The sequence below is a fragment of the Homo sapiens genome, chromosome 14, assembly GCF_000001405.40.
Source record: "Homo sapiens chromosome 14, GRCh38.p14 Primary Assembly".
Classification (NCBI taxonomy): Eukaryota; Metazoa; Chordata; class Mammalia; order Primates; family Hominidae; genus Homo; species Homo sapiens.
In genome coordinates this window covers 92,022,308-92,039,135 of record NC_000014.9, presented here as the reverse complement: position 1 = coordinate 92,039,135, position 16,828 = coordinate 92,022,308, and the positions used below count along the sequence as shown (strand labels likewise).

Genomic DNA, 16,828 nt, shown 5'->3' with positions numbered 1-16,828 from the left:
ACTCATAATTTAAACACTTGGTGAGTTTTGCTCTTTTCTGTCTTGAGTATGTTATGAAACACGGCCATGTTTTTCTATTTAATTATTTTTTACTTTTCCTTATTGTGATGATACATTATAGCGTTCCAGCTGAGAATGTATTTTTGTGTATAATCGCCCATTTCGCCCATATTTCGACAGTAGAATAGGGAAGACAACCCTATTCTTAAGGTACCCTTAGCAATCTTCACTCATTTTTGAAGTCCTCAATCTCGTTTTACTAATGAATAGTGACCCAGAGTTACATGGTAATCAATGGCTACATTAGTTACTATCCATTAATTACTATTTTGATTTCTTGGCATTTTAGTAAGCAATGTTTGGATCAAAACAGTTTTTAAGTTTCAATCTAAGTCTGCTCCAGGGAGATAATGGGCTGTTCTTTTGGGTGAGAGCTGCTGCTTTGACAATTGTATTTCTTATAAATAAATTTAATAAATTAGTATTCTGGCTTAGTTTTTTTTTTTAATTGCTAATTTAACAGATCCTTCATATTTATTTGGTAGAAATCGGGAAAGATTGTTTGATAGAAAGATAATGCTTATGTTTTGAATTTCTGTGGGGTCTATTTAGATGGAAGGAAGAATAGACTGGGGAGCTACCGAAATCCATTTTACCGCTTTACGTTCCCCATGCCATAAAGGTGCATCAGTGAGACAGCTTTGGGGATAGAAATGAAAGGGCTTCTTTATGTGTGGGGGAAAGCATGGGACCTTGAGGGCAGTCAGAAGCACAGAAGGGCTGGATAACTATGGGAAATGACTGGTCGCTCCTTGTATCCTAGATAGGGGAAAACGGTTGGCTGTTCCTTAGACCCTAAGCCAGAGAATATGCATCCCTCAACCTGGATGTCTTCCAGGTTTAAGGTGGTGTTCATTTTGTTCTCCTGCCAAATGTGCTGTTTTCTCATTCTTAATAGCTTCACTCTCAGTTTCCTAAACTGTAAATCTTCGTGTCCTTGTTTTATGTCTTTTTTCATCTCCTACTTCCAGTTGGTCATGATATCTTGTTTATCCTATGCCAGAATTGTCCTTTGCTTTATTACTCCTTATTCTTTAGATCCCTATAATCTTTCCCAGGGACTATTCCTCTTTCATGTCCTGTCACCCATTTCTCCCTACCCCAGTCCATTTTCTATTGTATTGTCAGTTACTTTCTAAAAACAAACCTGCGTAAAAATTTCTTGACCCTGTTACAGAATAAAATCCAAACCTCTTAGTTTTGGACTGAGTCTCACTCTGTTGCGTAGGCTGGATGCAGTGGCGCGATCTCGGCTCGCTGCAACCTTCGCCTCCCGGGTTCAAGCAATTCTCCTGCCTCAGCCTCCCAAGTAGCTGGGATTACAGGCGTGTGCCACCACACCTGGCTAATTTTTGTATTTTTAGTAGAGATGGGGTTTCGCCATGTTGGCCAGGCTGATCTCGAACTCCTGAGACCGCAGGTGATCCTCCTGCCTTGGCCTCCCAGAGTGCTGGGATTACAGGCGTGAGCCACCGCACCCGACCTTCAATGTACCTTTTCTAGTTGCCATACCAGTTGCTGTACATGTGCACATATATATGCTTGCTTGTACGCACAGCTTCTGTCGTGTGGGATTTTGTCAGGCACTTACACAACTTCAAGCCTCTACATGGAAAGCCCTTTCTTCTCTATTTCCTCCTTCACCCAGAAAACAATTCTCCTGTACAACCCTGCTCATATGTCAGGTACTTAAGTACTTGGTGAACCATTCTGACTCCCACACAGGTTGAGTTGTTGAGTTGAATGTTGGTGATCTGTGTTCTAACAGAACTTTGTGGATCTCTCCCTGACAGCATTTAACATGTTGAGTTATAATTTATCTGTTTTCCTGATGCCCAGCGTGAGGACTGAATTTTTTTGCTCCTTATATTACCAAATATGTGACACCTTCCTTTTGGCACATAGTAGATGCTCAATAAAAATGGCACAAGTGCGTGATTAGAAATCTGCAAAGTTGCTTAATGCCTTTATTCTTTCCCCTTTGTATTTCAATCGGACTTGCTTAACACCTAATTTATTGATTTTGTAAATTTTTAAAAATAGGGGTCTGGCCAGGTGTGGTTCATACCTGTAATCTCAGCATTTTGGGAGGCTAAAGTGGGAGGATAGCTTAAAGCCAGGAGTTGAGGACTAGCCTGGGCAACATAGGGAGATCTCATCTCTACAAAAAGTTTTTAGCTGGGCATGGCTGCATGTGCCTGTAGTCTCACCTACTTGGGAGGCTGAAATGGGAGGTTTGCTTGAGCCCAGTAGTTAAAGGCTCCAGTGAGCTGCGATTGCACCACTGAACTCCAGCCTGGGTGACAGAGACGACCCTGTCTAAAAAAATAAAGGGAATGGAGGGTCAGAGTACAGTTCTTTTATTCATTGAACAAGTATTTATTAGTGTTTACCCTGTGTCAGTAATGAAAAATAAAACAGTTCCAAAATAGCACTATGTGGACAACTTGAAAGCCATCCATATTTACAATATCAGAAGGTTGCAGTTTTACCTAACACTACTGATTTATTCAAGGTTAGGAGCTTGGGCTTTTAAATCAGAGAGACATGGGTTGAAATTCTGCTTTTGTGCATTACAAGTTGTGGGATTTTTGGCAAATTATTAGAAATTAACCTCCAAAAGCACAGTTTCCTTATATGTTGAATAGGGATAATCATACCTATTGTGAGGTTGAGAGGATTAAATGAAATCATGAGTGTAAAATGCCTGGAATTGTGTCTACCGAATCGTAAACATTAATGAATGGTAAATGTCATATTTGCCCTTATTGACAAAGTCAGAATATTTTTGTCTGCATAATATCTCCCCTTTGTACTTAAAAAGGCCAAGTTTTTCTTGTTGGGGGAGGTGTGGAGTTTGCATGGACTTGTAAAATCCCTCTTTAAAATAGTTGCTGCTTTTAACAATTACCTTCCTAAACAAATTAGATTATAACTTGTCCTCTTCAGAGTAGCAATTAAACAGTCCTTTCATAGTTTCAAGCAAGATGTACAACCAACCACAGATGTAACCCTACCTGGTGATTTTCTAAACAAGAGTGTTTGTCACTGTAATTACTGCATGCTTCTTTTGATTTAAACCAAGCTTGTCCAACCTGTGGTCTGCAGGCCACATGTGGCCCAGGATGGGTTTTGAATGAGACCCAACACAAATTCATAAACGTGCTTAAAATGTTATGAGTTTTTCTGGCTGGGCGCGGTGGCTCACACCTGTAATCCCAGCCCTTTGGGAGCACTTTGAGGAGGGCCTCAGGATCACCTGAGGTCAAGAGTTTAAGGCCAGCCTGGCCAACATGGTGAAACCTCGTCTCTTTACTAAAAAATACAAAAATTAGCCGGGCATGGTGGCGCAGGCCTATAGTCCCAGCTACTGGGGAGGCTGAGGTGGGAGAATCACTTGAACCCAGGAGGCAGAGGTTGCAGCGAGCTGAGATTGTGCCACTACACTCCAGCCTGGGCGACAGAGCGAGACTCTGTCTCAAAAAAAAAATAAATAAATAAATAAATAAAAAATGAGGTTTTTTGCGATTTTTTTTTTTTTAAAGCTCATTAGCGATTGTTAGTGTATTTTATGTATGGCCCAAGACAGTTCTTCCAGTATGGCCCAGGGAAGCCAAAAGATTGGACACTCCTAATAAACTGTAGTCCAGATAAGTTATTTTTATATTAAAGAGCTGTGAGTAATGAAAAAAATACTAGTACTTAGAAAAAAAATCTAACTCTGGATGATGATTTTCTTTTCTTTTCTTTTTTTTGAGACCGAGTCTTGCTCTGTCGCCCAGGCTGGAGTGCAGTGGCACGATCTTGGCTCACTGCAGCTTCTGCCTCCCCAGTTCAAGCAATTTCTCCTGCCTCAGCCTCCTAAGTAGGTGGGATTACAGATTATAGGCACCTACCACCATGACTGGCCAGTTTTTTTTTTTTTGTATTTTTAGTAGAGATGGAGTTTTGCCATATTGGCCAGGGTTGTCTTGAACTCCTGACCTCAAGTGATCCACCTGCCTTGGCCTCCCAAAGTGCTGGGATTACAGGCATGAGCCACCGAGACCAGCCAGATGATGATTTTCTAACAGCATTAGTGGTGCCATGTTGACACTGCTGGGCTCTCACTCTACTTTTAAATGAAAATGTACAAAACCAAGGGCCATGCATGGTGACTTACACTTGTAATCCCAGCACTTTGGGAGGCTGAGTGTGGAGGATTCCCTAAGGCTAGGAGTTCGAGACCTGCCTGGGCAACACAGTGAAACCTCATCTCTCCAAAAAAGTAAAAAAATTAGGTAGGTGTGGTCGCATGTGCCTGTAGTTCCAACTACTTGGAAGGCTGAAGCGAGAGAGTTTGAGGCTACAGTGAGCCATGATCACACCACTATACTCCAGCCTAGGTGGCAGAGTGAAGTGAGACCCTTTCCAAGAAAATTAAAAAATAAAGATGAAAATGTAGAAAACCAGACTGAGCTCATTCCCATTTTTAATAAATTGTGTCTATGTTACTTTAAATAAGTGTTCTCAGTGTATTTTTCTTCGTTTATAGGTCACTTATTATTTGATAGTATTGAGAGCAGAAGTTAGTGACAGAGCAGGAGCACTGTTGTTATCTCAGACAAACAGTGCCACTTTAAGTTCCAGCTCCCTTTCCTTTTTTTTTTTTGGAGACAAGAGTCTCACTCTGTAACCCAGGCTGGAGTGCAGTAGCACAGTGTCGGCTCACTGCAACCTCCACCTCCCAGGTTCAAGCAATTCTCCTGCCTCAGCCTCCTGAGTAGCTGGGATTACAGGCGTGTGCCACCACACCCGGCTAATTTTTGTATTTTTAGTAGAGACGAGGTTTTACCTGTTGGCCAGGCTGGTCTCAAACTCCCGATCTCACGTGATCCGCCCACCTTGGCCTCCCAAAGTGCTGGGATTACAGGCGGTGAGCCACCGTACCTGACCTCCAGCTCCCTTTCTAGCCTCATGCATTTCAAGGAAGTCACTTCTCTTCTAACTACAAGCAGCCAGAAAAAGCAGACAGTAAAACACATACAGAGGGAGTGCTCGGGCACAAAGGGAGGTGGGGGTAAAGTCTCTTGGGTAACTGCCAAACTTCACTCTCATACAGTGGGCCCCAGTAAAGCAGTGGGCCTTAGAAAGCACATTCCTTTCCCTTCAGGTGCACTAAAATAGGGAAGCTAAAGCAGACTCGGGGGGTATGCCTGCAGCTCTAGAATAAATGGAACAAATACACAACTCTCCCTCCCAGATAAGCACTACAAAAAAACACAGAAGCAGTCTAAGCCTCTAATAAATTCTCCCACCCTAAATCCTTAAAAACTCTTAGTCTGGAAAAGAGTGTGCCTCTAACCTAACTCAGCCGAACACCCCTCTCAGGTTTGTTTTCTCTAAAATAAACCTGTCTTAACTGGCAAGCCACCCTTTGTGTTTCTCTCCTCTTTCTTTAATTCTTACAGTTAGAAATAAGGCCTAAAGCCCCAGTTGAGTAAGCTTCATCTAAAATTATAGCAGCATTAGCCCACAGAGAAATAGTTTTAATTTCTAAAGCTTAATTTCCCACAACAAAATTCTAATGAACATTTCTAAGGGGTAAAGGTAGACATCCTAAGATACAGGGCATAGGCAAAAAGAATGACTTTTATGACAATGAAGAACATTAGTGTCAGTGAAAAGTTGTTATGGAAATAAAGCGATTTGTTTCTTCTGAATGCTTTCATATCAGCCTACTATTCTGTGTAAACTCAGTGAAATATATTTTCTTGAAAATACCTATTTATTACTTCATATGGTATTGATTAAATATTCAATATTTGTTATTTCTCTTGTAGCAGAATTACCTGATTCTAGGACAAAGGAAATTGAAGCCATTCATGCAATCTTGAGATCAGAGGTAAGAAAAATCAAAGACTACTTAGATTTTTCTTTTTTGAAGTCATGAAGGTTACTCAAACATTACTTTGATCCTTTCTTTTTAAATGTACTGCTTAGCACTTTTTTTCTCTTCTTGTTTAATTTTGATTGTTTTTTGAGCTTTTATCAACCTTCTGTAGATGAAAAATATATTTACCTGTTACTGCAGTTTGCTATTCTTTAATATTCCCATCTCTATTTCTGTATAAGTAGGAAAACTGCCAAATGTAGAAATAATAGTATCAATAATTTATCATAATCCAGAGTTTACTGTGTTCTAACAGCATACTAAATTGCAGTGGCACATTTATTTAAGAATAATTTTTTTTTTTTTTTTTTGAAACGGGGTCTCACTCTGTCACCCAGGCTGGAGTGCAGTGGCACTATCTTGGCTCACTACAACCTCCACCTCCTGGGTTCAAGCAATTCTTCTGCCTCAGCCCCCCGAGTAGCTGGGACTACAGGTGCACGCTACCACACCCAGCTAATTTTTGTATTTTTAGTAGAGACAGGGTTTCACCACATTGGCCAGGCTGGTCTCAAACTCCTGACCTCGTGATTCACCCGCCTTAGCCTCCCAAAGTGCTGGGATTACAGGCGTGAGCCACCACGCCCAGCTAAGTATAATATTAAGAATGCAATTCTGTTTAACCTGGAGCTTTTTAAACACTAAAATGATAATAATATTTGGATACAAAAAAGTTAAGAATATAGGAATAGCAGCCAGGCACAGTGGCTCATGTCTGTAATCTGAGCACTTTGGGAAGCCGAGGTGGGTGGATCACTTGAGATCAGGAGTTTGAGACAAGCCTGGACAACATGGTGAAACCCCATCTCTAACTAAAAATACAAAAAAATTAGCTGGATGTGGTGGTGCACACCTGTAATCCCAGCTACTCAGGAGGCTGAGGCAGGAGACTTGCTGGAAACTGGGAGGCGGAGGTTGCACTGAGCCGAGATCACGCCATTGCATTCCAGCCTGAGTGACAGAGAAAAACTCCATCCAAAAAAAGAAAAAAAGGATACAGGAATAGCAAATTAATTTTAATGTTTTATTCATTATTAGGGTCTAGATTGGGCGCAGTGGCTCATGCCTGTAATCTCAGCGCTTTGGGAGGTGGAGGTGGGAGGATGGCTTGAGGCCAGGAGTTTGAGACCGGTTACAAAAAATAAAGATAAAAAAATTAGTCAAGGTGTGGTGGTGGGTGTCTGTAGTCCCAGCTACTTGTGAGGCTGAGGTGGGAGGATCACCTGATCTTAGGGCCCAGGAAGTCAAGGCTGCGGTGAGCTGTGATCCTGCCACTGTATTCCAGCCCGGGCAACAGAGTGAGACCTTGTATCAAAAAAAGAAAAAGACATTTTAATAATTTAAATACAGCAAATCCAAATTTTTATTTAATTTTTTTCTGGTTTTGAAAGCATAAAGACTCAAAATAAGCAATGTTCTTTGAATTCAGTGAACTGCTTTTTAACCCTTAATTGTATAACCTGGAATATCTTTATCTTGTAAAATATTGATTCCAAAGTTCAGTTACCTCTCTAATAGATTTCAGGTTATTATTACTTCTAGTTCTTTTCGTTGTGGTTGTTGCTTTGAGACATGGTCTTGCTTTTTTGCCCAGGCTGGAATACAGTGGCACAGTCATAGCTCACTGCAACCTTGAACTTCTGGGCTCAAGTGATCCTTCTGCTTCAGCCTCTTGAGTAGCTGGTACCACAGGCATGCAACACCGCACCCAGCTAATTTTTAAAGATTTTTTTGTAATAGGCCAGGCACGGTGGCTCATGCCTGTAATCCCAGCACTTTGGGAGGCTGAGGTGGGCAGATCACTTGAGGTCAGCTTGGTCAACATGGTGAAACCCTGTCTCTACTAAAAATACAAAAATTAGCTGGATATGGTGGTGGGCGCCTGTAATCCCAGCTACTTGGGAGGCTGAGGCAGGAGAATCACTTGAACCCGGGATGTGGAGGTTGCAGTGAGCCAAGATCGTACCATTGCACTCCAGCCTAAGCAAGACTCCATCTCCAATAAATAAGTAAGTAAGTAAGTAAATAAAAAAATAAATAAATAAATAAAATTTTTTGTAGAGACGATGTCTTGCTCTGTTGCCCAGGCTGGTCTCAAACTCCTGGCTTCAAGCAGTCTTTCCACCTTGGCCTCTGAAAGTGCTGGGATTACAGGCATGAGCCACATGCCCAGCCTGGTTCTTGATTGTGTCATTAAAAGCAATACTTTTGAAAATTTTAATGGCTCATGATTTTATTGAAGAGATGATGGCTGTCATCTTTGCTCTATAATTTCAAAAGCATGTTTATTCTTAGATTTATAAATGCCAATTAGAATGATCAGTCCACTGAGTTTTTTTCATTTCTGTGTCATCTGTTTCCTCCCAGTTGCCTTTGTGTACACACCTGCTTTCAGCCTTCTACATATGAACATATCAAGTAAATGTTGGTGTACAAATATACATGATGAAAGAATACTGTCACATGGCCAGGCATGGTGGCTCACGCCTGTAATCCCAGCACTTTGGGAGGCCGAGGTGGGTGGATCACCTGAGTTCGAGACCAGCCTGACCAACATGGAGAAACCCTGTCTCTACTAAAAATACAAAATTCGCTGGGCGTGGTGGCACATGCCTGTAATCCCAGCTACTTGGGAGGCTGAGGCAGGAGAATCACTTGAACCTGGGAGGTAGAGGTTGCGGTGAGCCAAGATCCCACCATTGCACTCCAGCCTGGGCAACAAGAGCGAGACTCTCAAAAAAAATAAAAAATAAAAATAAAAAAAGAATACTGTCATGTATCTGCTTAGCAAAATGAAATGGTTTAAGTCCTTGTCACAAAATAATGCAGAGTGAAGTATTTTCCTGTTGAATGACTAATTGATCTGAAAGCCATATTTCTTTTTTGTTCTTAAAAATATATTATTCACTCATCAATTCTTTTTTTTTTTTTTTTTTTTTTGAGACGGAGTCTCGCTCTGTCGCCCAGGCTGGAGTGCAGAGTGCAGTGGCGGGATCTAGGCTCACTGCAAGCTCCGCCTCCCGGGTTCACGCCATTCTCCTGCCTCAGCCTCCCAAGTAGCTGGGACTACAGGCGCCCGCCACTACGCCCGGCTAATATTTTGTATTTTTAGTAGAGACGGGGTTTCACCGTTTTAGCCGGGATGGTCTCGATCTCCTGACCTCGTGATCCGCCCGCCTCGGCCTCCCAAAGTGCTGGGATTACAGGCGTGAGCCACCGCGCCCGGCCCACTCATCAATTCTTGACTTTTAGAAAATTCTTCCAGGATATTGCCATCTGAAGATTTGTGTAAGATTTCACTTCTACAGTCAGTTTCACCATAACCATTAGACTCTAGGATGCTGCTTTCTGTCTCTGCATTAATCTTCTAAGTTGTCTAATAATTGTGAATGTTTTCCTTTGTCAGTTTTCTTCTCTTCATCAAATAATTAAAAATTCTGAGTTTTTAACTGTGTTCGATGAAAGAGAAAAAACAAAACTACAAAAAGTGGTGTCTGTAGACAGCTGTTTTCTTTTAAAAAGATGATATAGGCCAGGCATGGTGGCTCACGCCTGTAATCCATGATTACAGGCTCATGCCTGTAAACTTTGGGAGGCTGAAGTGGGCGGATCATGAGGTCAGGAGTTCGAGACCAGCCTGACCGACATGGTGAAACCCCATCTCTACAAAAAATACAAAAATTAGCCGGGTGTGGTAGCACGTGCCTGTAATCCCAGCTATTCAGGAGGCTGAGGCAGGAGAATTGCTTGAACCTGGGAGGCAGAGGTTGCAGTGAGCCGAGATTGTGCCAGTAAACTCCAGCCTGGGTGACAGAGTGAGACTCCATCTCAAAAAAAAAAAAAAAAAAAAAAAAAAAAAAAAATAATACTTTGGGCAATGCAGTCAGAAAACTGGTTATTTTACCATTGCATCATTCTCCTAGGTGATTTCATAAGTTTTCCGTTTTCTTGTTATTGTCATTTTTAAAATAGTTGGGAATAATTTTTTAAATGATTTTTTAAAATTCCCATGATAGTAAAAGAGCCAAATGTTTTAAGATACAGAAAATACAAGTTGATTTTGCTCCCATGATTTTTCTTAGATTTATAAAAAGATCCACGGTACCCTATGGTAATTGTAAGATAGAATGTTTTATTCTATTTTTGAAAATAGGTAAATTTTCTCTTTGTTGGTAGACCCCTCAGAAAGAATAAAAATCATAAATATCAAGTTTTACGAATAGTTAGGACTGCCTAAAAAAGAAATTAAGTTGATTTCAGTGGACCCTAATGGTATAACCAAAGATTAAGCAGGACGGAATATTTTAAGATGTGAGTGTCCTATGGATTTCAATAGCAGAAATGTAGTCTGACTTTAGAAGGACTGCAGCTAGAACTGGAGGCCATCAGGAGTCTGTCTCTCTTTTCATTTGTACTCTCTTTTCTTCTTTCTATGCATTTATTCTTTTCTCCTTTCAGACCAGCCCCCTCTGTTCAATATTCCATATAATAGAAAATATTATCTCTGGCAACTCTTTTCATATTTTATGGGTTCGGCCACATGAAGAGAAACTGTCCTTCATTTGCTCTCTCAGCCTTTCTTTTTGTTTTGAGACAGGGTCTTGCTCTGTCACCCAAGTTGGAGTGCAGTGGTGTGATCATGGCTCCCCTGCAGCCTTGACCTCTCAGGTTCAAGCAGTCTTCCCTCCTCAGCCTCCTGAGTAGCTGGGACTATGGGTGCAAGCCAACATGCCCAGCTAATTTTGTATTTGTATTTTTTGTTCCTTATGTTGCCCAGGCTGGTCTTGAACTCCTGGGCTCAAGTGATCCTCCTGCCTCAGCCTCCCAAAGTGCTGAGATTACAGGCATGAGCCACCACGCCTAGCCCTTTCTCAATCTTTCTGACTCTCATATGGCTATGGAGATGAGGGCAGACAACCAAGTAGATATTGACCATATTCAAAGTTTCACAGTTCTATTTATTAATCAGAGTTAAATAAATAACCTTAGGTATTTTTGTGTGAAAAAAAACCTGAAGTGAACTTTTATAACCAGGGTTTGACTTCAGTATATTATATCGCTGAGTTATGTATGGTGTTTTTCATATAAACAGCTTACAGAAAGTCATGCAAAAGCAGCCAGTAGAATAGAAGGTAATCAGCTGTTGGGACCATTGGTCCTGTTTCTTACTACTAGTTCTTCAGGATAATTAAGGTCTGTGTTAGATTTCTGGGGATAGAGTCCCAAACTAGGATTTGTGGATGCTGTAATTATTCCTTTGATTATTCCATTGGTTTTCTCTGGGAATTTATGTAATCTTCCTGGATCATTATTTTCACATCTGTTGACATCAGAAGTTCCTAGAATCTAAGAAGAAAACAAATGACATCCCCAAAGTGAAAAAGTCTTCACCTTTTAGCAAGAGCTTTCTTTCTCACTATCAGTCTTCTTTTTCTCATTCATTGTTGTTAAACCGTGTTTGTGGGTATATTAGTAGAATGCTTAGTAAATTGTTATCTGCAATTATTTGTAAATTCTTTTTTGTAGAGAGTTTTAGTGTCCATTTCTTTTGCCCCATTATGTTCTTTTTGTTGTTGTTGTTAGAACAACTCAGCAAAACAAAATTCCTGTTTATTGTTGGACAACATTGTCTCACACATACATCAGACAGGCCAAAAAAAATAAACAGCAACTTCATAGACAAAAAAGGAAAAAAAAGAAACCTTTTATTTTTGGCCTTTTTAACCATCTCATACAAACCAACTACTTATAGTACAGCTAAGTACATACACAAAAAAGTTATTGGAATGCTCGGAATAAGATTGTTTTTCTGTTGTCGTTTTTGCTTTTTTTACAAGGTTTTTTTTCTGCTTTGAGATTATAATGAATATGGTCACACCACAAGTAAAGTCAGAAGTAGGACAAAGAACACTCCGAAGGCTGGTTTGGTCATCCGAGATCATTAAAAATGGCTGACCCTAACAATATGTACAAAAATATAAAATGAAAATAAAAAATACAAATTTCCTTTTTAAAATACTTTTAAGAAAAAAAGCAGGGCCTTGGAAGTTTTGGTTCTTTTTCCTCCCCTGTTGCAAATTCTCATGGTTTGGGTTGCGTGGTGGAGAGCGCGTGTCATCTGCTGGTGGCACTGCCCACGGTGGGCGGGCGGGCCTCTCTACTTGAAGGTGACCACGTTTAGATTCTGAGAGGGGAAGTGGAGGGTGAATAGGTCGCGGCGGCCTTTTTTTTAGTTTAACTTTTCCTTTTTTGCTGTCTAGTCATCCTCGTCGGTCTTCTGCTTCTTGGTATCAACATCGTCATCCTCATCATCTTCAGCTGCCCACTTGCCGGTAGCTGACTCAGCTTCCTCATCTTCATCTCCATCCTTCTTCCTCACCCTCACCTTCTTCTTCCTCCTCCTCTTCCTCCCCACCTTCTTCCTGTTCTTCATCTACTTCATTGTCAGCCTCTTGCTCCCCATTTTCCTCGTCAGCAGGGGCGTCTCTTCCATTTTCCGCCTCTTCCACAACTTCCTTCTTCTCCTTTAAGTCCTTGGTGGTGATTTCGGAGCTGGTGTCCACGGCTGCGTCTGACATGGTAGGGCACGCCAGTGATCCGATGCAGGGGATTAAAAAGAAAGCGAGAGTTCAGGGACTCTGGCGATAAAGCTGCCGGCTGCGGCGAGCAAGGAGGCGGACGAGGAACAATGCAAAGATGGCTTTTCAGAGCAGCCAGTGGGGCGCCCCATTATGTTCTTATTATTTCATTCAAATAAGGAATGATAATAGGTTAAGATAATTTAATATTTAGGTACATACAATTTGAGTAATTTTTTTCATGTTTTTCAACATCTTAAAAGACAGTGTGTAATGTCTAGGTTCATTGAATTAGGCTATTTTGTGTACTTTTAACTTTTTTCAAACAGTTCTAGTAGTGGTTTTCAAATTGGATTTTTTCCGAGGTCCTTCAGGGACCCTGAAAGACAAGCAAATTATGTGAGATTTTAGCCTCCTCCCTGTACTTCAACCAGAAAGATTTCTTTTTAAAAAAAGTTCTGTTTGGGGAAGAAAACAAAAGTTCAAACATGTAATCCATTTATTTACTAGACATGTATTGACTGCTGTGTGCTAGAACTGGGTATACAAAGATGGGGAAACATTGATTCGTGGCCTTTTCTTAGCAGAAAATCAATCTGAGCAAAATGTTAATATTTCACTGTTTGGTTTAGAATTATGCATATTCTGTCTGTATAAACATGGTCAGTGCTTTTTTTTTTTTTTTTTGAGACGGAGTCTCGCTCTGTCACCAGGCTGGAATGCAATGGCATGATCTCGGCTCACTGCAACCTCCGCCTCCCGGGTTCAAGCAATTCCCCTGCCTCAGCCTCGCGAGTAGCTGGGATTACGGGCACACGCCACCACGCCCGTCTAATTTTTTTTTGTATTTTAGTAGAGATGGGGTTTCCCTATGTTGGCCAGGATGGTCTCGATCTCCTGACCTCATGATCTGCCTTGGCCTCCCAAAGTGCTGGGATTACAGGCGTGAGCCACAGTGCCCGGCTGGTCAGTGCATTTTTAACTTTAATTTAAAAGCATATTTTAAAGTCCAGAATTCTGTCCGAGACCTTTTATATTTGACATTTTTGGGGGGGGAAAGCAGTACGTTTTTCATAATGCTGTGCACATAACTAATTACATGTTTTACTTGCAGTCTTTTTGTTGAAAATACTTTTTTTTTCTAGAATGAAAGGCTTAAGAAACTTTGTACTGATCTAGAAGAGAAACATGAAGCATCAGAGATTCAAATAAAGCAGCAATCTACAAGTTACCGAAATCAACTTCAACAAAAAGAGGTAAATGTTATCACAGTTACTTCATATGTACTTCACTGTAATGTATTTAGGTATGTTTTTAGAGTTAGAATATAAATCGAGGTATATTCAGATCTGTAAAAATATGAAAAGGTGATGAATTTAATGATTTTCGACTCAGTTTGATATCCCTTATTTAATAAGAACTTTGTAAGGTAATGTAAACTTTATTAAGTTTACATATATAAACCAACCTGTGTGAAGTATAATTTTTTTCTTTCCAAAGAAGAAGAAAAAGTTTTTGTATAAAATATCTTTAGGGATCTGTTGCTTATAATTTCTGATTTTATGAAGCCTAATATTTGTTGTATTGGCATGTGCTTGATTTTCCATGGAAAAACTATTAAATATATGATAATTTACATATAATTGCTTTATAAATGTTTTTGGGTTTTTTAGTTTGAAATGGCTGCTTTGGAATTGATTTATCTTTGCTTTACAGTGCTGGTAGTAGATATTATATAATTTAATGTTACTCTGAATCCTTAAAATACAGTCTGTGTCCTCATGTGTCATGCTGTTACTGAATTCTCTTTAGTGTTTAGTACCTAAGTGGCCCCCAATAAATACTTACATTGAATGGAACCATTTCCTGTTATATTGTCCAGATCATTTGGATGTTTTTCAGTTTGTTGACTAAGTGTTCATTTCTACCATAACTTTATATTTGGGTTTTTAAAATTTAGGTGTCATGCTTTCTAATTCCTATGCTTTCTAGTTCCTTTAGTGACATGCTAAGGTGAAAGATAAAAGTATAGCACGTTAAAGATATACATAGGTTTTGAAAGTAGTGCTTAAATTTCCAATTTGTTGGGAAGTGATAATTTCATAAAATACAATACAAAATGAATTACTATAAAAATAAAATGAATACTAAAAAAGGCAAAGTTGCAAGTTCAAATAATTTTTTTTTTTTTTTTTGAGACAGAGTCTTGCTCTGTCGCCCAGGCTGAAGTGCAGTGGTGCAATCTCGGCTCACTGCAACCTCTGCATCCCGGTTCAAGCAATTCTCGTGCCGCCTGAGTAGCTGGGATTACAGGCATGCACTACCACGCCTGGCTAATTTTTGAATTTTTATTAGAGATGGGGTTTCACCACGTTGGCCAGGCTGGTCTTGAACTCCTGACCTCAGGTGATCTGCCCGCCTTGGCCTCCCAAAGTGTTGGGATTACAGGCGTGAGCCACCGTGCCTGTCCTCAAGTTCAACTTAAAGTTACAAGGCTACTTTTTTTTTTTCTTGATTCCCCATCTCTACTAATAATACAAAAATTAGCCGGACGTGGTGGCGTATGCCTATAGTCTCAGCTACTTGGGAGGCTGAGACAGGAGAATTGCTTGAACCTGGGAGGCGGTGGTTGTAGTGAGCTGAGATCACGCCACTGCATTCTAGCCTGGGTCACAGAACGAGACTCCGTCTCAAAAAAAAAAAAAAAAGTTCAGCAGATATAAAATTACTACTAAATTGCTTTAAAAGTCTTAAACCTTACTTTTCACATTGCTATACTTGCTCTGGACTGGTAGTGAGCATTCAACTGCATTCGTCTGTGGACCACATTTTGAGTAGCATTGAGTTATAAACATTATGATAGAACAGTAGTTCCTCCTACCCAGGGGTTTACAGCTGTGTCATTATGACACTTTAAAAGCATATACATGTTTACACCACCTAGGAGATTCTAACTTAGTGTACTGGAAAGAGGCCCTGGTGCAGGTTGAGCATTCCTACCAAAATTCGAAATGCTCCAAAATCCAAAACTTTGAGTGCCAGTTTGATGCCACAAGTAGAAAATTCCACAAATAAGTACTGAACACAAGCTTTGTTTTATGCACAAAATTGTTAAAAGCATTTTATAAAATTACTTTCACACGTACCTGTGGGTATAAGGTGTATATGAAACATAAATGAATTTTGTGTTTAGACATGGGTCCCATCCCCAAGATATCTCATTACATTTATGAGAATGTTCTCAAATTGGAAAATACCTGAAATGTGAAACCCTTCTAGTCCCAAGCATTCGGATAAGGATACTCAACCTGTATTGGTCATTTTCAAAAGCTCCACAGGTTATTCTGATGCCTACCTCACAGTTGAAAACACTGGTGGGGAAAATTTTGGTATTTTATGTTCTACTTAACTATCGATATTAGAGGGCACATTAAGCATTCAGGTTTGGAAATATCTGTTATTACAGCTTGCACTTGTATAACTACAAGTTGATATAAATATCATATAATGATAGCTTTTTAAATATAGCTACATTTGAAAAAGATGTGGATTTTAGTACTTTTTACGAGGATGAAATATATGATTATATAGATCTGTTATTTCCTGAATCTATGTGCGGCCCTCATTGTGATGTTCATATTCTCCAAGATGGAATTTATCTCATGTCATTTGTGGGAAAATGAATGAAATTTGTACAGTACTATAAATTTCCATTTGAGAAGGGGCTCCAATATGAAAAACTTGTTTGTTATGACATACAACATAAATGTGTTTGGTTTTTGTCTACTTGCTTAACTTTATGCATATAGAAATACTGTTACTTGTTGGCTGTCTTCCTAATATCAAATTTTCCTCAGTTGTGGCAGTGTCTTCTGGACTACTCTACTTTATAGAAAACTTTTTTCAGTTCTGTCTATATTGTTTGATTTTGTGTTTTGAATAATCTTTTACAAGAATGGATGTGGCATTTTGGTAGGTCCTGTGTTTATAATTTCTTTTGCGCTATGACTTACCCGCCTTTAGTCAAAACTGCTGGTAATTTCAGAACTTCAGAACTGTTCTCTTCCTAAATAGGTCAGATTTTCGCTGGCTCCTCTTTGCCAAATCTAAAGCTAAGACCACTTTCAGTATATTATTTCTTTTTAAGATTCATGGGCTAATAACCATGGGCTCACTGTTTCACTGTTATCTTATCTAAAAAGATTGGATTTATAAATCAAAGCATTCTTCCAGCTGTGTTGTGCAGGTCAATACAAAG

The 16,828-nt window shown here is 39.8% G+C and overlaps 1 protein-coding gene and 1 pseudogene across 4 annotated transcripts in view; one reads left to right on the top strand and one right to left on the bottom strand.

Moving 5' to 3' along the window:
• The window catches only part of TRIP11 (thyroid hormone receptor interactor 11), a 74,069-nt gene that overhangs the window by 924 nt on the left and 56,317 nt on the right, over window positions 1-16,828 (top strand). For 3 of the 4 annotated variants that reach the window (XR_943560.3, XR_001750598.3, NM_004239.4), the window contains exons 2-3: window positions 5,883-5,944; window positions 13,716-13,826. Coding sequence is in view for 2 of the 4 variants with exons in the window: in NM_004239.4 (NP_004230.2) it covers window positions 5,883-5,944; window positions 13,716-13,826 (173 nt within the window). In the remaining 2 variants the exon portion in view is untranslated. The remainder of the gene's footprint in view (window positions 1-5,882; window positions 5,945-13,715; window positions 13,827-16,828) is intronic. The other variant, NM_001321851.1, reaches the window with a different exon arrangement.
• Window positions 11,569-12,714, bottom strand: PTMAP7 (prothymosin alpha pseudogene 7; annotated as a pseudogene).